General features: G+C 48.5%; 1 protein-coding gene and 1 long non-coding RNA gene across 23 annotated transcripts in view, besides 5 other annotated features; one reads left to right on the top strand and one right to left on the bottom strand.

Annotated features, from left to right (window-relative positions):
- Positions 1 to 19189, bottom strand: part of SNX29 (sorting nexin 29) — a 597554-nt gene that overhangs the window by 469166 nt on the left and 109199 nt on the right. The gene's annotated exons all lie outside the window — the stretch shown is intronic.
- Positions 7276 to 7570: an enhancer, noted in NCBI's record as "tiled region #9869; HepG2 Activating DNase matched - State 1:Tss, and K562 Activating DNase unmatched - State 8:EnhW". NCBI's record gives its function as "activates a minimal TATA promoter and a strong SV40 promoter by Sharpr-MPRA in HepG2 cells, with weak activation in K562 cells {active_cell/tissue: HepG2 | K562}" and the evidence as "EXISTENCE:reporter gene assay evidence [ECO:0000049][PMID:27701403]".
- Positions 7276 to 8432: a biological region, named in NCBI's record as "Sharpr-MPRA regulatory region 9869".
- Positions 7499 to 8432: an enhancer, noted in NCBI's record as "H3K4me1 hESC enhancer chr16:12190547-12191480 (GRCh37/hg19 assembly coordinates)". NCBI's record gives its function as "activates a minimal SCP1, AML or CMV promoter by ChIP-STARR-seq in primed H9 embryonic stem cells {active_cell/tissue: H9 hESC(primed)}" and the evidence as "EXISTENCE:reporter gene assay evidence [ECO:0000049][PMID:30033119]".
- Positions 15182 to 17411, top strand: LOC642696 (uncharacterized). Its single transcript, XR_109256.5, has 2 exons — positions 15182 to 15353; positions 16937 to 17411. It is a non-coding gene; the product is annotated as an uncharacterized LOC642696 (long non-coding RNA).
- Positions 15214 to 15263: a silencer, noted in NCBI's record as "silent region_7217". NCBI's record gives its function as "represses an Ori minimal core promoter by ATAC-STARR-seq in GM12878 lymphoblastoid cells {active_cell/tissue: GM12878}" and the evidence as "EXISTENCE:reporter gene assay evidence [ECO:0000049][PMID:35858748]".
- Positions 16940 to 17009: an enhancer, noted in NCBI's record as "active region_10465". NCBI's record gives its function as "activates an Ori minimal core promoter by ATAC-STARR-seq in GM12878 lymphoblastoid cells {active_cell/tissue: GM12878}" and the evidence as "EXISTENCE:reporter gene assay evidence [ECO:0000049][PMID:35858748]".

Raw genomic sequence — 19189 nt, 5'->3', positions numbered from 1 at the left:
AAACTGCTCACGGTGTTGCCTCATGCTCTGAAGACTGAGGCTGACTTCCCTGGAATTCCAAAGTAAGCCTCAATCTCCTTCCTATGTGGATGAGCAGGGACCCTGCAGAAGGAAGCATTAATAAAACCCGAGTGGATCTGCATTTGGAGCCAACTCTTCAAATCACACCGCCATTCCCAGCAGACATTCAGACCCAGCCCTAGAAGGCAAGTCTTTGACATTCTTTCCAGTTCGCTTTCTTCAGTACAATTTGTCTTTTGGATCTTATGTCTGGAAAGCAAAGAAAGTTCTGCATACAATGCACAACAATAAAGACAAGGGTTGCCAACTATTTTTAACAAAGATTTGCATGGATAAACATAACAAGAGGTTTCCAGTATTCACAGTGACAGGTACACCCACTATTTAAGGAAACTTCCAACTACACTTTATGAAAATAATGGCCCCAACCCACAGCTAATCCTGGGAATGATCCTGGAGATCTGGAGAACCTGAAGGTCAAAGAAAAAGTGGCAACAAGTTTCTTGGTTTGGGTTTTTTTTTTTTGTTTATTTGTTTGTTTGTTTGAGATGGAGTCTCGCTCTGTCACCCAGGCTGGAGTGCAGTGGTGCAATCTCAGCTCACTGCAACCTCTGCCTCCCGGGTTCAAGAGATTCTCCTGCCTCAGCCTCCTGTATAGCTGGGATTACAGGCATGCACCACCACGCCCAGCTAATTTTTGTATTTTTAGTAGAGATGGGGTTTCACCAAGTTGGCCAGGCTGGTCTCGAACTCCTGACCTCAGGTGATCTGCCCATCTCGGCCTCCCAAAGTGCTGGGATTACAGGCATGAGCCACCACACCTGGACACAAGTTTTTTAAAAGCGCTGACCTCAAAGAACCATAGCCTGGGTGATCTCTGTGCCTGATTTTTCTTGAGAAGATTCTCCTGGCAGCTCAGTACCCACAAGCATCAAACTATGCCTTGATTTTCAAACAACACACACAACTGCCAGATGGTATGGGATCAAGTGGTAGCCACCGTTTCAAGGAAACAAACTCTGACTTTTTCTGCTGCCTCATCTGGAATGCAGGCTTCCAATTCCAGGAAACTGAATCGAGTATAGGTCATTTTTGCAAGTGTAGTTCATCTTTTTTAGCAGCGAATTCTAGAAAGGTTCTAATCACATAATTAGGACTCTAGGAATGAAGAATAAATTGATGATTACAAAAACATCACAGAAGGATGATCATGGAGACAAGGAAACATTAAGAATACACTTTCCTTGTTTTTCTCTCGCAAAGTTGTTTAAGTTCCTTGTAGAGTCTGGATATTAGCCCTTTGTCAGATGGATAGATTGCAAAAATTTTCTCCCATTCTGTGGGTTGCCTGTTCACTCTGATGATAGTTTCTTTTGCTGTGCAGAAGCTCTGTAGTTTAATTAGATCCCATTTGTCAATTTTGGTTTTTGTTGCCATTTCTTTTGGTGTTTTAGTCATGAAGTCTTTGCCCATGCCTATGTCCTGAATGGTATTACCTAGGTTTTCTTCCAGAATTGTTATGGTTTTAGATCTTACATTTAAGTCTTTAATCCATCTTGAGTTAATTTTTGTATAAGGTGTAAGGAAGGGGTCCAGTTTCAGTTTTCTGAATATGGCTAGCCAGTTTTCCCAGCACCATTTATTAAATAGGGAATCCTTTCCCCATTGCTTATTTTGTCAGGTTTGTCAAAGATCATTTGTGGCATTATTTCTGAGGCCTCTGTTCTGTTCCACTGGTCTATATATCTGTTCTGGTACCAGTACCATGCTGCTTTGGTTACTGTAGCCTTGTAATACAGTTTGAAGTCAGGTAACATGAAGCCTCCAGCTTTGTTCTTTTTGCTTAGGATTAGCTTGGCTATATGGGCTCTTTTTTGGTTCCATATGAAATTTAAAGCAGTTTTTTTCTAATTCTGTGAAGAAAGTGCATGGTAGCTTGATGGGAATAGCATTGAATCTATAAATTACTTTAGGCAGTATGGCCATTTTCACAATATTGATTCTACCTATGCATGAGCATGGAATGTTTTTCCATTTGTTTGTATCCTCTCTTATTTCCTTGAGCAGTGGTTTGTAGTTCTCCTTGAAGAGGTCCTTCACATCCCTTGTAAGTTTTATTCCTAGGTATGTTATTTTCTTTGTAGCAATTATGAATGGGAGTTCACTCGTGATTTGGCTCTCTATTATTAGTGTATAGGAATGCTTGTGATTTTTGCACATTGATTTTATATCCAGAGACTTTACTGAAGTTGCTTATCAGCTTAAGGAGATCTTGGGCTGAGACAATGGGGTTTTCTAAATATACAATCATGTCATCTGCAAACAGAGACAATTTGACTTCTACTCTTCCTATCTGAATACCCTTTATTTCTTTTTCTTGCCTGATTGCTCTGGCCAGAATTTGCAATACTATGTTGAATAGGAGTGGCGAGAGAGGGCATCCTTGTCTTGTGCCGGTTTTCAAAGGGAATGCTTCCAGCTTTTGACAACCCCATCAAAAAGTGGGTGAAGGATATGAGCAGACACTTCTCCAAAGAAGACATTTATGTGGCCAACAAACATATGAAAAAAAGCTCATCATCACTGGCCATTAGAGAAATGCAAATCAAAACCACAATGAGATACCATCTCACGCCAGTTAGAATGGCGATCATTAAAAAGTCAGGAAACAACAGACACTGGAGAGGATGTGGAGTAATAGAAATGCTTTTACACTGTTAGTGGCAGTGTAAATTAGTTCAACCATTGTGGAAGACAGTGTGGCAATTCCTCAAGGATCTAGAACCAGAAATATCATTTGACCCAGCAATCCCATTACTGGGTATATACCCAAAGGTTTATAAATCATGCTACTATAAAGACACATGCACACGGATGTTTACTGCGGCACTATTCACAATAGCAAAGACTTAGAACCAACCCAAATGCCCATCAATGATAGACTGGATAAAGAAAATGCGGCACATATACACCATGGAATACTATGCAGCCATAAAAAAGGATGAGTTCGTGTTCTTTGCAGGGACATGGATGAAGCTGGAAACCATCATTCTCAGCAAATTATCACAAGGACAAAAGACCAAACACCGCATGTTCTCACTCATAGGTGGGAGTTGAACAATGAGAACACATGGACACAGGGAGGGGAACATCACACACTGGGGCCTGTCTGAGGGTAGGGGGCTAGGGGAGGGAGAACATTAGGAGAAATACCTAATGTAGATGACGGGCTGATGGGTGCAGCAAAAAACCGTGGCACAAGTATACCTATGTAATAAGCATGCACATTCTGCACATGGATCCCAGAACTTAAAGTATATTTAAATTAAAAAGATACTTTCCTTTTTCATTATTACCAAGAGACAGCTATGACTAAAACTACAGCTGCCAACATAAGATGATTAAAACTGGGGGTCAGGCCAGGCACAGCGACTCGTGCCAGCAATCCCAGCACTTTGGGAAGCCAAGGCAGGCAGATCACTTGAGGTCAGGAGTTCAAGATCAGCCTGGCCAACATGGTGAAACTCTGTCTCTAGTAAAAATACAAAAATTGGCCAGGCATGGTGGTGCATGCCTGTAATCCCAGCTACCCAGGAGGCTGAGGCAGGAAAATCGCTTGAACCCGGGAGGTGGAGGTTGCAGTGAGCCAAGATCACGCCACTGTACTCCAGCCTGGGCAACAGAGCGAGTCTCTGTCTCAAAAAAAAAAAAAAATAAAATTGGGGGTCAACCATTTAGTAGGAGGAAGAACAGAATGAGAGAGATGCTAAAGGTTCTGCAAGGCAAAAAAAAAAAAAAAGTTGGGGGGGGCCACAAAGGTACATTAGGACACCCAGATGAAGAAGAAAATAATGCAGAGCCCTGAGAAAGGAGAGAACAAAATAGGCTGCTCCCTTCAGCCCAGCAGGATGCTCAGGATGCGCACGCACAACCTCTACCTATTCCAGCAGGAAACTGGTAATGTCTAAAACGTGCCAATTCAAGAAATGGTGGTAGAAGAAGAGTGTCCCTCCAATGAAGTAACAGCTGAAAGACTGGAGAGGCACTCTTCGTGGCACTCTTCGTCCTGGGAATTGAGAAGAGATGGGCCATGGATGGGTGTTTTCACCGTGGGCAGGTGTTGCACTGATCGTTTCAATGTGGAGAAAACCCAAAGGTCATCCTCCTAATCAAAAAGTCCCCAGCCCTCCCCCAGGTGGCCAGCATCTGCTGCCTACATTGTGACCCCCACCTGCCAGCTGCCCTCCCTGCTGTCCCCCAGTCCACCCAGGGGCCAGATGACCTGTCTCACCACCTCTGCTCTAATGCCCCCAGCAGCACCCCTACTCACTCAGGGTGAAAGCTGAGGCCACCCCACCCACCCCATCCCCAACTTCTCTGCCTCATCTCCTCCTGCCCCAGCCACACCCAGCACCCCCACCCAGGGCCTCTGTCCTGGCCGTTCCCTCTGCCAAGCACACTCTTCCTTCCACATCCCCATGATCTCTTCCTCACTTTATTCAGGCCCCTACTCAAAAGTCACCTTGTCAGACAGGCCTCTGCAGACAGCCCGATCTGGACACAGCAGCCCCTCCAGCATGCACCGTCCTTCCTCTTGTCCATCTTTACTTTACCGTAGAGGACAGAGCCCCACCTGACATGTCTCTTCTGCTTATGGATTCCTAGAGCAGCGGGTTTCAACCAAGGGCAGTTTTACCTACCCCGCTCCCCTGGAGGACGCTGGGCACTGTCCACAGACACTTGCCTGTCACAACTGGTGGTGGTGCTACCAGCAACTAGTGCGTAGAGGCCAGAGACACCGCAAAATTTCCTACAATGCACAGGACAGCCAAGGATGATCCAATCCAAAGGTCGACAGTGCCGCAGTGGAGACACCCTGCCTAGAGCCAGCACAGCACCTGACACACAGCAGGCCTTTGTAAACATTTGGTGAATGAATGACTGAAGGATGAAAAGCCAGAAGGTATTGGGCTCACAGTTTAAGAGGTGGGCTTTGAAGTCCCATGCTCTCCCACCAAGGACTCCCTATGCTGGACAAGTTCCTCCATCGCTGAGCCTTGATTCTGCTCAATGAGAGAGAGGCGATAACAGTAGCCGCTGCATGGGGTCGCTGCAAGGACTAGACAGGGGAAATCCATGTCCAGTACTGAGCACAGTGCCTGCACACTGATCAAGTACCATCATCCCGGGTTCATCATGCCTAGCGCTCACAGGAGAGTGCCACTCCAGAGATGGATTTGCATTTAGGGTCCTTCCATCTCAGAGCCAGGCAGTCATGAGGGCACTGCACCACAGAGGGAGGTGGGCTAGCACCCCAGGAACATAGGCACAATAGGCATTCTGCTCCGTCCCTCAGCCCAGGGATCCACACTCCACGAATCAAAAGGGCACAGCAGGCTGGTGCAAGTCCTCCCAGATGCTGGTGGGAGTCTGAATACAAAAGGGTAGAGGGCATGGTCAGAACTGGGCTTCCTTCTGGAGGCCGACAGGACTCCACCCTCACCGGGAGTCCGGGCCAGAACGCTGTGGGGGACCCAAGAGCCAAGGGCAGAGCCGCCCTCAGACAGGCTGCATCTGCTCCTGTCCCTGGAGCCTCCCTGTTTAGGTCACTAAATACTGAGCTGCCAGCTGTCACCTAACTACCCAGGAACAATGCAGCACCAACTCACTGGCCCTTCCTCACACATACCCAACTCCCCTACGAGCTACACAACCCCATTCAAAAATCACGGTGCCTCTTCCTTCCTTCAGTGGAAGAGGAGATGGGAGGTTCGAGAAGAATCAGGGAGAAGGGCAGTACAAGAAAACGGAACCAAGGGCCCTGGGTTTAGTGCTGAGCTGACCACCTCGCAGACTCAGACACCACTCTCTACCTACTTTATTTTAGCCAATGTTCACAGCAAACATGTGAAAGACAGGTAATTAGTCCCATTCTGCAGAAGAGAAAACAGAACCTCAGCAAAGTCACCAGCCACAGCCATGTATCTAACAACAGCCTGAAACCTAAGTGTCTCTTTCCTCATGAAGTGCTCTGTGCTGGAGGGGAGCCACCAGTTCTCTGACCTCCCATTTTCACATGAAGTAGGTCCCCACTCCCCAGTTCCCACCCTCACTCTTTCTGTCCCGTACTCTCTGCTCCCACAATGCAGGGAGTGACCTGGCCCACTTGGGCCAGACAGGAGGCGCTCTTCCTCAGCTCAGCTCCTGTGGGTTCTCTCAGAGCCCACCCACCTGTTCACCTCCCCACAAGGTGTGCTCAGGAACTGCCCTGAGGGGGGTCTCTACCTCTGACTGTTAGACTCAGGGACGAGGTTTTGTAAGCCCACCTTCCCACAGGTTCAAAGCTCTGTTTTCCAACCAGCTTTACTGATGACAAAGCTAGCCTCTTGATCTTCACGTGTCTGTCTGTCTGGAGGAGGTGACGCCTAAGCTGTGTCTTACAGGATGAATAAGCACGACCCAGGCAAAAGAGGAGGAGAGGGGAGGGTGTCCCGGCAGACGGAAGAGCATGAAACTGAATCGGGCGCGCATGAAACTGAATCGTCTGCGCACATGAAACCGACGGTGTGTACAGACACCTGGAAGCAGCTGGGTGCTGCTGAAATGCAATGTAACGTCCCATCAAAGGGCACGCGGTGGCCACTGCAAGTGGGAGCTCCAGTATGCCCAACCCCCTATTCAACTGGGCAGCGACGTTCTTCCAGAAGGTGAACTCCAATGGTTAGAGTCCTGGACGGGGAGCAAGGTGGCTGATGTGGGAGTGGAAGAGAAATCCTTTACGGTATCCCATACGTACCTTTTGAGTTTTGTTCCATGTAAATATATACTTATGCAAAACAAAAATTTAAATACAAATTTTTAACATTAATATTTAAGGTCTAGGGCAGGAGGGAGAAGAGGAGGAGGAAAAGGAGTTGAAGGAGGGGGCAGGGGAAGGGTTAGAACTGCTGGGCTGCAACCAAAACGTAAGCACCCCGGCCACGTACTGAGCGTCCTCTGGGCCCAGCGTGTGCGGGCACTGCACATGGCAAGTGCTATTCACCTCCTTTTGGAAATAAGGAAACGGACAAAGTAAATGGCAAAGCCAGGACGTGAGCCCTTCATGTGGGACTGCAGGAGCCTGGGGTGCTCTCCTCCAGGGCGGTGCAGCTCCCCCAACTTTAATGAAGCAGCCCAGTCAGGCTACTCCTTCCCAATAAACTCACACCCAGCTGCCTCCCCACCACCCCCGCCTTCCAACTTTACAAACTGAGCTGTCCCAGCTCAAACAAAGCTGACATTTCAAACAAGTCTGACCGCGTCTCATCCCCTGAGCGAGAGGCCCATTTTGGATTGGCTCTGAATTGCATCAAACGGTTACATAAGCTGCTGCCTGGCCCAGCTGAGATAGCCGGCTAGAAACCTCCAGACCAAAAGTTGATCCTAGCTTAGAGTTCAGGGACAGCCCTTCCTGAAAGTCTGTAAACAAATTAAGAGTCTGAGCTGTTAGGGAGGTCAGGAGGAATGCAGCAGACCTCAAATAAAATGAACAAATGCTAAAAAAGACCAAAAAAAAAAATCATGTGTGGCCCAAACCAAGAGCACAGAAATGATACTGAGACCTTGTGTACTCACTGCAGCCTGGATCATTAACCACAGACAAGTGAGAGCCTGGTGAGGCAGGGAACAACCAGCCAGATGCGGGAAGTCGGCCTGAAATACAGCCCCTTCAAAATGCCCTCTGGCTTGGTGCAGGGTCTCCAGGTGAAGCTAAAACATATTCTTCCCGGAGTAAGAGCCTAGCTGTGCAACCCAGCTCCACCGGCCACTGGCTGTGTGATGCTGGCTAGGTTTATCTACCGCTAAGCACTCCCGTCTCCTCTGTGAAATGGGGATCACCGCAAGCTCTCACAGGATCGCAGACATGCGTGAGTTAACGGGTGACAAGGACAGACTCAGTACTCGGCAGCACCATCACCAATGCTTCCTCAAGGGCTTCATAATGGCGACAACAGCTCCTCAAGCCCATCCCGACATCCTGCAGTGCTTAGTGACGGAACCAGAGGTGCAGCCTGGAAGATCACTGTCAGCCCCCTTTGCACACTGCAGGGAGGTTCCCTTCTGGCCCAGCATCCCCATCTGTGCAAGACCTCCTGACCTCCCCTGCACCGAGCCCTTAACCTTTCCCTCCTGTGACCCTCTGGACCTCAGCCACCCTATCCTTGCTACATTCATCCTGCTGTCATCGGTTCCTCCTTCCCCTCCTGGGAGCAAGGAATCCAGGGTCTATATGAGTGACCAGCATCCAGCACTGGTCTTTTTCCAGGTAAGGAGTTGGGAGCTGTACTGCATAACCTAAAACTTCCATTAGGAATTTCCCACTTCACGGGGAACTCGTTCCCATGGGTGGATCGAGTGGCGGTTGTTCAGTGCCACAGATAACAAAGAGTACATCACTCCCACATGACCCCATTGCCTCCCGTTTTGCCCCATCCAATCATTCATCATTTCTTTATTACCATAAAACTCCACTAGAATGCTCTGTGGGCAGGGCCCATGTGAGAAGAGCTAACATCTCCTGAGTGCTGAGCGCAATGTCAAAGCACTCTCTGTGTATGAACTCATTTAGTCCTCACAACAGCCCATGGTGCTGGCACTCTTAAATCTGCATTATAATGATGGGGAAATTTTAACATGTGACACAGAGCTTGTGCATGGCCAAGCTGGATCCCCACCTCTGGCTCCTCAGCACCTAGAACTGCGCCCAGCACATGAGAGATGTTTGGTAAATGTTTGGTGAATGAATAAACAGATGATAAAGAAGTGAGGCATGTCTAAATGCCATCTGGAACCTTCCAATTACTAAGACACTAAGACAGTCACTGAAGGGCTAATACACAAAATTCAGTGGGAAGTTTCCCCTTTAAAGAAAGATGCCCAGCGTGAGGGATCTGTGTTGGCCACGTCACCTAGGTTCACTTCTCGGCAGTTAAGGGGCAGGGGGCTCAGACTGCAGCCGATTTAACGGCCACTGCCCCACCATCTCATCCTAAAATTTTATCATGAAGCCCTTAGCCAAGCAAGCAGCTGGCTGCGGGGCCTCGCATCTCTCTCTGATGTTACTACAGCACTCCTCAACTTCATTTCTGGAGCTGCCGAATGTTTGGAATTGTGTTGCTAGGCGATGAGCCAGAACGCCTCACTAGCGTTGAGAATCTCTTCCAATAATAGCCAAGAGGAAAAAAAAGGACCCCCTCAACACAGCCTATTGACAAGTAAGGATGTTTTTCTTGCCCTCTCTGCCCTGGCTCACAATCAAAAGCTCTAACAAATTAAAAGGAAACAAATGGGCCGGATGGTCTGGGCTCACCTGACTCTATCACCTTCACTCCCCAGCCCCAAAAAAAGGGGCAAGAAGGCAACAATCGGGATTCAAAAGCTGAATACCCACAGCTAATCAATTATATCTCATGAAAAGCAATGACACAGGGGAAATGTTTTCTGATGAGCTGCAAATTCCCTTTTAGAACAGGACCACAAAGTGACTGGCAATGCATGACTGTGCTATACTGATGGTGAACAGAAAGCTGCATGCATGCTTGATGTTTTTCAACTAGAAAAGACCACTGCTCTCAACACCACCACCACTCGCGACCTCACCACTGAAAGGGGTACCGCGCTGGACATGAAAAATTCAGATAACCACCACCCGCAGCTGCGGAAGGAAAGCGGCAGAGAAAAGACTAGGGCGCCCCCTGGTGGCTCCAATGTGGCTCTTCCTGAAATTGGCAGGAATAAAGCCTGAGCCGCTTTCTTGCAACCTCCAGCTCCCAAATAACCATATATTCAAACGAAATTAACTCAAGAGTAGAAACTTTGTTGTTAAAAAGGAGGTGAAGGGAGACAAGGCTGTTGTAAACACCAACAAATATCAACTGAATGAATTTTGATTAAGATCTAGTAAAGTAGTACCAGTGAGCTGGTTTCCGCAGCAGTGACGGTACTTCCGCAGCTACGGAGTCAGGATCACTTAGTCTGGTGCATTCCACAGGTCTGTATCATTATGCATCTACTGCCTTCCTAAATCATCATCTTCATTGCAGGAGTGATGGCACGAAAAAGCTCCCAAACATACACACACACATGCATGCGCACACACACAAACAAATGCTCCCTGGGATCTATCATTTTCTTTAGGCTCATTTTTTCCTAAGTTTCATTCCTTGACCTATGCAGGAGGCGAGAGGTTTTAAAAAAAAAGCCTAAGACAAAATACGGTTCCTGGAAAACGGCCCTGCTGCTTCCTTCTGTCTTGGGGTTTCTCAAGTACTGTCGTTTGGGACTAGATAATGCTGTGTTGGGAGGAGCTGTCCTGTTGGGAGGACCTGTCCTGTCCACCACAGGACGTTCAGCAGCATCCCTGGGCTCTACTTAGCAGATGCCGGAAGGACCCTCATCCCAGGTGTGACAACCATATATGTCCCAGACATGGCTAAATGTCCCCTGGGGGTTGCAATCACCCCCAGCTAAGAACCACCATCCTGCGTGATCACTTCCAATTTTCAGGCCTCATAGAAAGAGTAGCCTGGTTTATGTCCTCTTAACCAGAGGGAGGATTGAGGGGTAGATACCAGCTAAAGGGAACTTCAGGGCCTCTGCAGGAGGGATGGTTTCAGTAAGATGGAAAATCAGGTCAACCTATTTGCAGTTCAACAATAAGGCCCAGATGTTGTTTTCAGGAAGATTCGTCAGCAACGTACCCTTTGAGGGTGTTGTTAATGATCACACCTACCAGTTATTCAGTCTTTAAGATGCCAGATACTCTCTTGGATTTTTTTTCCAATTTTTCTTATCAAGGTATAATTTACATAGCATATAACACCCTTCGATAGCTCAGGTGGTAATTTACATAGTGTATCTTCTGAGTATCTTCCATCTGTTAGTTCATTTAATCCTCACAACTGTGTCAGAGGGGTACTATGATAGCCCCATTTTATAGACGAGAACGCTGAGGCACAGTTAGCTTAAATAACTTGCCCAGGTTCCCACTGCTAATACATGTAGGGATGTGCGTAAGAACACAGCCAGTGTAGCTGGTTTAACATCAGCAAGCAGAACAGTAAAAACAAAAATAATGATACCACGATTGCCAGTGTTGCCCCAGACACTATGTGCAATTACCACCTGCTAACTACCTGAAGTGTTTCGTGTTTCTTACTTTTTTCTAAAGCCTGGAACACTCTGAAGGAGAGTCGTGAAAGCAAAGGAACTTCTCCCCAGGAAAATCCACGTATGTGCACAAACACACAAGCACGATTTTGCACACAATTGCAAGAGGTATCTGAAATCTCTAAAACTATCTATGAGCCTCCAATGAGGTTCCCAGATACAACAGACACTTCATATAACTCCCAGGAATCCACCAAGGGGATAATATTACCACCATTTCAAGGACTGGGAAAACGAGTTCAGAGAAATTAAAGCATTTGCCCGGGGTCACATAGATCTTTCTCTTTAAGACACGGTCTCACTCTGTCACCCAGGCTGTGGTGCGATCAAGGCTCACAGTAGCCTACAACTCCTGGGTTCAAGAGATCCTCCTGCCTCAACCTTCCGAGTAGCTGGGATTACAGGCACGTGCCACCATGTCTGGCTTTTCTGTCTTCTTCTTTTGTAAAGAGAGGGGGTCTCACTATGTTGCCCAGGCTGGTTTTGAACTCCTGGCCTCAAGCAATCCTCCTGCCTTGTCCTCCCAAAGTGTTGGGATTACAGCCAGGAACCACTGCACGTAGCCACACAGCTCTTGAACAGCAGTGCTGTGGTCTGCCTGACCCATGTTCTTTCCATCCCAACACATTGCTTCTCAACTTGCCGTGATCACTGACATCAGGGCCCTACAAAACTAAAGGATGTGTAAAGTGCAGAAAGGATTTACATATCTAATATTCTAGTGGCTCTGATGATATACAGTGGCAATGTAAGGGCTGCTGGCCACTCAGAATTAAAACCTGAAGGTGACATTTGCCTTTCACAAAGACAGTTGTTGATTCACCTCTACAAACTCCATAAGACAGCATCTCAGCAAAACAGTCCACAGGGGTCTGGCACTCACACAAATACCATTCTGCCTCTTTCCAGCCCTCTTCCCACATCGGCCAACACCTGGCCTCGGGTATAAAAAGTTATGGGCCAAATGTCCAAGCCAGTGTGTTTACTGATACTGGCTTGCCTAGCCAAAAGCCATTCAAATTCACCTGAATGTCACCACATGTGTAAAGGAGACAGTAGGCAAGGGGGAAAGGAAGACACCTGTCTTTGGTATCAAAGAAACTAACGAGGTCAGGCAAGTCATGAGAAACTTCAGCAGAGTGGTTCTTTAATCACCGCAAATGAGAATGTGGATATTCTGGCTCCTTTCCCAGAACAGATGGTCAGCACCACAAAGAATCCTTGAGGGAAGCCTCCTCCACTTCATAGCTTGCGAAACTGAGGCACAGAGAGGTCAAGCGACCTACTACTCTCAGAGCCAGGATCAAAACCAAGTGTTCCCATTCACTGAGAGCAAATAGTTTGTAATGCATCATTCCACTACAACCAGCTGCATCTCCCTGACACAAGAGGAAAAAAGGTGAAAATCCACTCCCTTGAGCAACTCATATTACCAGGCCTTTACTGCATCCCGAGATAGAGACACAATGGTGATTATAACAGACTGGAGCCCGCCCTCTGGGAACTCGGTTTCAATTCATTCCTGCAGAATGCACTTTTAACTCTCCATGCTTGTTAGAACTAAAATAAACATTAGTTCCTTTGTTCCTTCCTTCCTTCCTTCCTTCTTTAAATGTCTCTTGAACAACTACTTGTCAGGCAGGATTTGGGGGAGGAGGAAAATGGCAATTAACTAGCAGACAAAGTGTGTCTACTCAGGGAGCTTGTATCCCAGTGGGGGCTACAGGAAAGAAACTAAAGAGGGGAGTGAGGTTACAGGGGGCTCTGAAACCTGAAGTCAGCAGCCAGGGAAGTGCTGCACTTGGGGGGATGGGATGAGATTGCCTGTGCTGCGCTCTTCTAGATGGACGGCCAGGGAAAGAGGGCCTCTTGCAGGAGCACCTCCGCCGAGTAGGGCTGCGAAAACAAAACACCATGGACCCGGTGCACTGTGAACGACAGGGACTGATTTTCTCACAGTTCTGGCAGCTGGAAGTCCAAGATCAAGGCACCGACAGATTCGGGATCTGGTGAGGGTCCTCTTCTTGGTTCACTGATGGCGCCTTCTTGCTGTGTCATCATTACATGGCAGAAAGGGTAAACAAGGTCTCTGGGGTCCCTTTTTTTTTTTTTTTTTTGAGAAGGATCTTGCTCTGTTGCCCAGGCTGGAGTGCAGTAGCATGATCTTGGCTCACCGCAGCCTCAAACTCCTGGGCTCACCTCAAAGTGGGCTCACTTCCAAGTAGCTGGGACAACAGGCACGCACCACCAAGTCTAATTTTTGTGTGTGTGTAGAGACAGGGTCTATCTGTGCTACTCAGGCTGGTCTCGAGTTCTGGGATCAAGCAATCCTCCTGCCTCAGCCTCCCAAAGTGCTGGGATTGCAGGCATAAGCCATGATACCCAACCTCTGGGGTCCCTTTTTTAAGGGCACTAATCCCACTCATGAGGGCTCCAGCCTCATGACCTAATCAACTCCCAAACGCCCACCTCCTAACACCATCACACTGGGGGTTAGGATTCCAACCTAGGAATTTTAGGGGCACACAAACATTCAGTCTATAGCAAAGGGGACATCCTGAGACCTGGGTGCTTTTCTCTGAAGGTGGGGCATTACACAAGCTTGTGGGTCTCCAGGAACGGCAAGGAGGGGGAGCGGGTGTGAACCCTGCCTCCACCACCCAATAGCAGTATGACCTTCAGCAAAGCCTCTCAGTTTCTTCAACTACAGAACAAGTCTAGCACTCCTATTTTACACGGATGCTATGAAGATTAAGCATTAGTGAAGGTAAAGCCTGGTTTATGGTAGGTAAAATGAATAAGAAAGTATTTGTATTATTACTATTTTCCAGGCGCTCTTTTTTCTTTTTCTTTCTTTTTTTTTTTTTTTTTTTTTTTTGAGATGAAGTCTCACTCTGTCGCCCACGCTGGAGTGCAGTGGTGTGATCTTGTCTCACTGCGACCTCCACTTCCTGGGTTCAAGTGATTCTCCTGCCTCAGCCTCTCGAGTAGCTGGGATTACAGGCATGCACCACCACACCTGGCTAATTTTTGTATTTTTAGTAGAGACAGGGTTTCACCATGTTGGCCAGGCTGGTCTTGAACTCCTGGCCTCAGGTGATTGATCTGCCTGCTTCAGCCTCCCAAAGTGCTGGGATTACAGGTGTGAGCCTCCATACCTGGCCTTCCAGGCACTCTTTGAAGGAAAATCTAGAATTGCCCCAGAAATAGGAATGAACTTACGGATGGATTTGATATGTGAAGACTGGCAGAGGCCATCTGGAGAGAAACCAGGATGGAAATGGGAAACCAGGCAGCATCCTAGAATTCAAACCCTAAACCCCGGGACTAGGGTTTGGAGCTGGCACTTGAACCCTTGGGGAGCTACCAAATGGGCTTAAAAATTGGTCCCAAGGGGGTCTCCAGATGTGACTTCAAGAGGAACTGGCCTCCCTGGAGCAACGCCACCACCTACCATCAATAACCGCGTGAGGCGGCACGGAACATTTACCCCCATTCCCTCCCACTGCCTCTGCATTCCTGCGCAAAGTCCTAACCCGGAAGAACTAGAGCCCCGCCGCTCCCCACCGTAAAAGCTTCCAGGTAGCTGAGAAGGCTCCAATCACAAAGGATGCCCGGTTCCACACTCAAGTCTAATGCCTTACTAAGCTAGTACGTTTGGACCTCAGAACACCCCTGAGACGCCGGTGAGAATGTCCTCATTTCACAAATGAGGACAGGGGACCAGAGAGTCTTTAAGGAAAAAAGAAAGAGAAATCTAGTTAGGAAGTGGTGGAGCTGAGGCTGGAAGCCAGGACTCTGATACCGGCCCGCGCACCGCCCCACCCCGCATCCTGGCTCCAGAACTCCCCGCTGGGACGCGTCTCTCCTGCTGCACCTAGCACAGCTCTATGACTCACGGGTGTTAGGGCACCGTGCTTAGGGCAGTGACAGGACTGTCAGCAGCCTGAGAGTATGGCCGCTAAGTCAACTCAGGACTCCCTACCCCGAGACACAGGGGAGCCCTCAGCACTGCCTGTACAAGGGAGGGCGGAGGGAAGGAGCAGTGAAGGACGGAAGGAACGCACTGCTGAGTGTGCTCTGCGTGGCAAGCAGGCTTCAGAGCCTGCTCTTCGCAAGAGGAAGTGAGTAAATCCTATCGCCCCTGCTTCAAGTCCTCCACTGGCTTCCCATTGTACGTGGGATAAAATCTACACGAGCCACCCTCTCCAGCATCCTCCAACTCACTCTCCCCCTCACTTCTGGCAGCGCAATGCCAGCGGTACCACCCGCCACCAAAACAGGCCAAACCCCCCATCCTGAGACCTCAGCCCCGCTGACATCTGAGAGAAGCCCTTTCCTGAAACATGCCTTAAAACAGGGCATAGGCTTTGCCTTTCTAATGCTTGCTGCTTGTCTTCCCCACAGTTCTGACAGCTTCTGAGGGCAGGACCTTTGCTTCTTGTTCATCAGTATATAAACCAAGAGTAGCAGTGTGGCGATCATATTATACTATGGACACTGGGCAGAAATAGTTGCAGGTTTTTTTCTATTGGGTTTTTTTAATTTTTTTATTTTATTTTTTGAGACGGTCTTGCTCTGTCACCCAGGCTGGAGTGCAGGGTCATAATCATTATTCACTAAAGCCTCGACCTCCTAGGCTCGAACAATCTTCCCACCTCAGCCTCCCAAGTAGCTGGAACTACAGGCAGATGCCAGGTGCCACCACCACACACTTTTTCTTTCTTTCTTTCTTTCTCTTTCTCTTTTCTCTCTCTCTCTCTCTTTTCTCTCTCTCTCTCTCTCCTCTCTTTCTTTCTTTCTTTTTGAGACAAAGTCTCACTCTGCCTCCTAGGCTGTAATGCAGTGGTATGATCTTGGCTCACTGTAGCCTCTGCCTCCCAGGTTTAAGCAATTCTCTGCCTCAGCCCCCTAGTACCTGGGACCACAGGTGCCCACCACTATGCCCAGCTAATTTTTGTACTGTCAGTAGAGATGGGGTTTCGCTGTGTTGGCCAGGCTGGTCTCGAACTCCTGACCTCAAGAGTAATCCGCCCGCCTCAGCCTCCCAAAGTGCTGGGATTATAGGCATGGGCCACTGCACCTGGCCAATTTTTAAATGTTTTTATTTGTAGAGGAAGGGTCTTGCTATGTTGCCCAGGCTGGTCTTGAACTCCTGCATTCGAGCCATCTTCCCACCTCAGCCTCCCAAAGTGCTGGGATTACAGGCGTGCGCCACTGCCCCGGCCATAAATTGTGTTTGAATGGAAAAAGGGATCCAGCAAACAGTAAAAGAACAGAAGAAAATACAAAGAAAGAAATCTCTCTTTTTTCTTCAAAAAGAAAAGCACTCCTGTCAACACTCGAAACGCCATTCCTCTGCCATTTTCACATAGCATGACCACAATGTCCTTACGCTCCCTGAGCCAAGCCTTCCCATATAAATGAGGGCTGGGGAGGGATAGCTAAAAATCCTTTCTAAGTATAAGAACAAGTGGGAACAGAGTCTATGTCTGTCAAACAGCACAAGTCAGCACCCATGTCCTAAAAGCACCCTGCAGAGCTTACAAGGGACACCTGGCAACGTGGCACCTCCCCCTAGCAACATGAAAACACCCACCCAACACCCGCCCCTGCTCTGACCCCGCAGAGCCGGTCCCGCTGCAGCCTTCTGCAGGTGCTGGATCAGCTGACCAGATCTGTTCCTGCCTCTCCTGTCTCTCTCTAGCTTTCTGCCTGGCCCAAACAGTGACACTGTGAGGCCTGCTGCAGAGACTGAGCTGGTGCCCTGCAGCCTCAGACACCCACGGCAGGACCTGTGTGGAGAGCACCCATCCTTCCCAGTCATGCAGCCTAGCCTAGAGACACAAGCAAAGCCAGAACGAGACAGGGCAGTGCTCATACCCCCCAAAGGACCATGGCCCCCTGCACAGGGTCTAGCCATGAGGACCCACTGCCCAACAGGTCCTCCTTCAAAAGCGTATTGCAGAGGCGGCAGCAGCTCCACCAGCAGGAATCAGGTTGCCAGCTTAGCCTATCGAACACAAAACACTGCTGCTTCCCAGCCACGTCAACCAGGAGGAAGAGGGAAAGAGGATACAGCTGGATATGGAAGCTGCAGCCCCAGAAGTTTGGCTGTGTGACTCTGAGCACTGTATTTGGCCTCTGCCTCAGTGACTTTCTCATCTGTACAATGGACCAGTAATGCCTGTACCTTCTGGGTTGCTGTAAAGCCCAGGATAACTTCAGAGAGGCATCTCGCATAATGACGGCTGCTTTACCATCTAATGAGTACTAATCATTACCTTAAATGTTTAAGAGGCAGGTCTTGCTCTGTTGCCCAGGCTGGGGTACAGTGTCATGATCACTGCTCAATGCAGCCTCGAACTCCTGGGCTCAAGCAATCCTCCTGCCTCATTCTCCCAAGAAGCTGAGTCCACAGACATGTGCCACCATGACCAGCTAATTTTTATTTACTTTATTAATCTGTTTATTTTGAGATAGAGTCTCACTCTGTTGCCCAGGCTGGAGTGCAGTGGCACGATCTCGGCTCATTGCAACCTCCGCCTCCTGGGTTCAAGCGATTCGCCTGCCTCCAAGCGATTCTCCTGCCTCAGCCTCCTGAGTAGCTGGGATTACAGGCACCCACCACCATACCCAGCTAATTGTTTTCTGTATGTTTAGTAGAGATGGGTTTCACTATGTTGGCCAGGCTGGTCTCAAACTCTTGACCTCAGGTGATCTACCCACCTCAGCCTCCCACAGTGCTGAGATTACAGACATGAGCCACCATGCCCGGCCCCGTAATCATTACTTACCACCAAGAATGCCTCTCATTCCACACTCATGAACCACATTTGTCTATCAGTTTTAAGTGTTATGATGGTTACCCTGCTTGTTATTAAAGCCTGCCAATAACAGAGCTGAAATATCGCAGCCAAAGGCAGAGACACGTGCTATTCCAGAAAGACCCAACTGCTCTGCATCTGTGTCAGCCTCCATTACTCTGGTTCACAATGTTTCTCTCTCACCCGCATCTTCTATTTGTACCTCCTGGTCCCCCAGATTGGGACCCATGGGACTATTTAATCCAAAATTTTATTGAAACATTGTTGCCGCAAATTAAGTTTTTTAAAAATGACAATAGTTAAATTAAACTGGTAAAAAGAAAATTTTTCTTCATTTTAAAATTTGGTGTTTGGCCAGGCATAGTAGGTCATGTCGTAACCCCCGCACTTTGAGAGGCTGAGGCGGGAGGATTATCTGAGACCAGGAGTTCAAGACCAGCCTAGGCAACATAGCAAGACTCCCATCTCTACAAAATAAGCATTAAAACACAGCCGGGCGGGGTGGCATGCACCTTCAGTCCCAGCTACTTGGGAAGCTGAGGCAGGAGGATCGCTTAAGCCCAGGAGTTCAAGGCTGCAGTAAGCCAGGAATGCACCACTGCACTCCAGCCTGGGCAACAGAGACCCTGCCTCCAAAAATAGTAATGATAAGCTTAAGGCTCTCAGACCTGGATGCCTACATATGACTAGTCCACTGCTGCTTGCCCTGGCTGGTGACAATGAAACGTGTCTCCTTAGGTAATGTAGAATTGGCAAGAGCGTGGCCAGGCGCGGTGGCTCACGCCTGTAATCCCAACACTTTGAGACGCCGAGGCGGGCAGATCACAAGGAAAGGAGATTGAGACCATCCTGGCTAACACAGTGAAATCCCGTCTCTACTAAAAATTACAAAAAATTAGCCAGGCGTGGTGGCGGGCGCCTGTAGTCCCAGCTACTTGGGAGGCTGAGGCAGGAGAATGGCGTGAGCCCGGGAGGCGGAGCTTGCACTGAGCCGAGATCACGCCACTGCCCTCCAGCCAGAGCGAGACTCCATCTCAAAAAAAAAAAAAAAAAAAAGAATTGGCAAGAGTGTAGGTTTTGGAGTAAGAACACCTGGGTCTCTCACAGATTCACCACTTACTATAGCTAGACAC

This window comes from Homo sapiens, chromosome 16 (genome assembly GCF_000001405.40).
Source record: "Homo sapiens chromosome 16, GRCh38.p14 Primary Assembly".
In the NCBI taxonomy this organism is placed as follows: domain Eukaryota; kingdom Metazoa; phylum Chordata; class Mammalia; order Primates; family Hominidae; genus Homo; species Homo sapiens.
The sequence above is the reverse complement of the archived record's forward strand: the minus strand, read 5'-3'. Positions and strand labels throughout refer to the sequence as shown.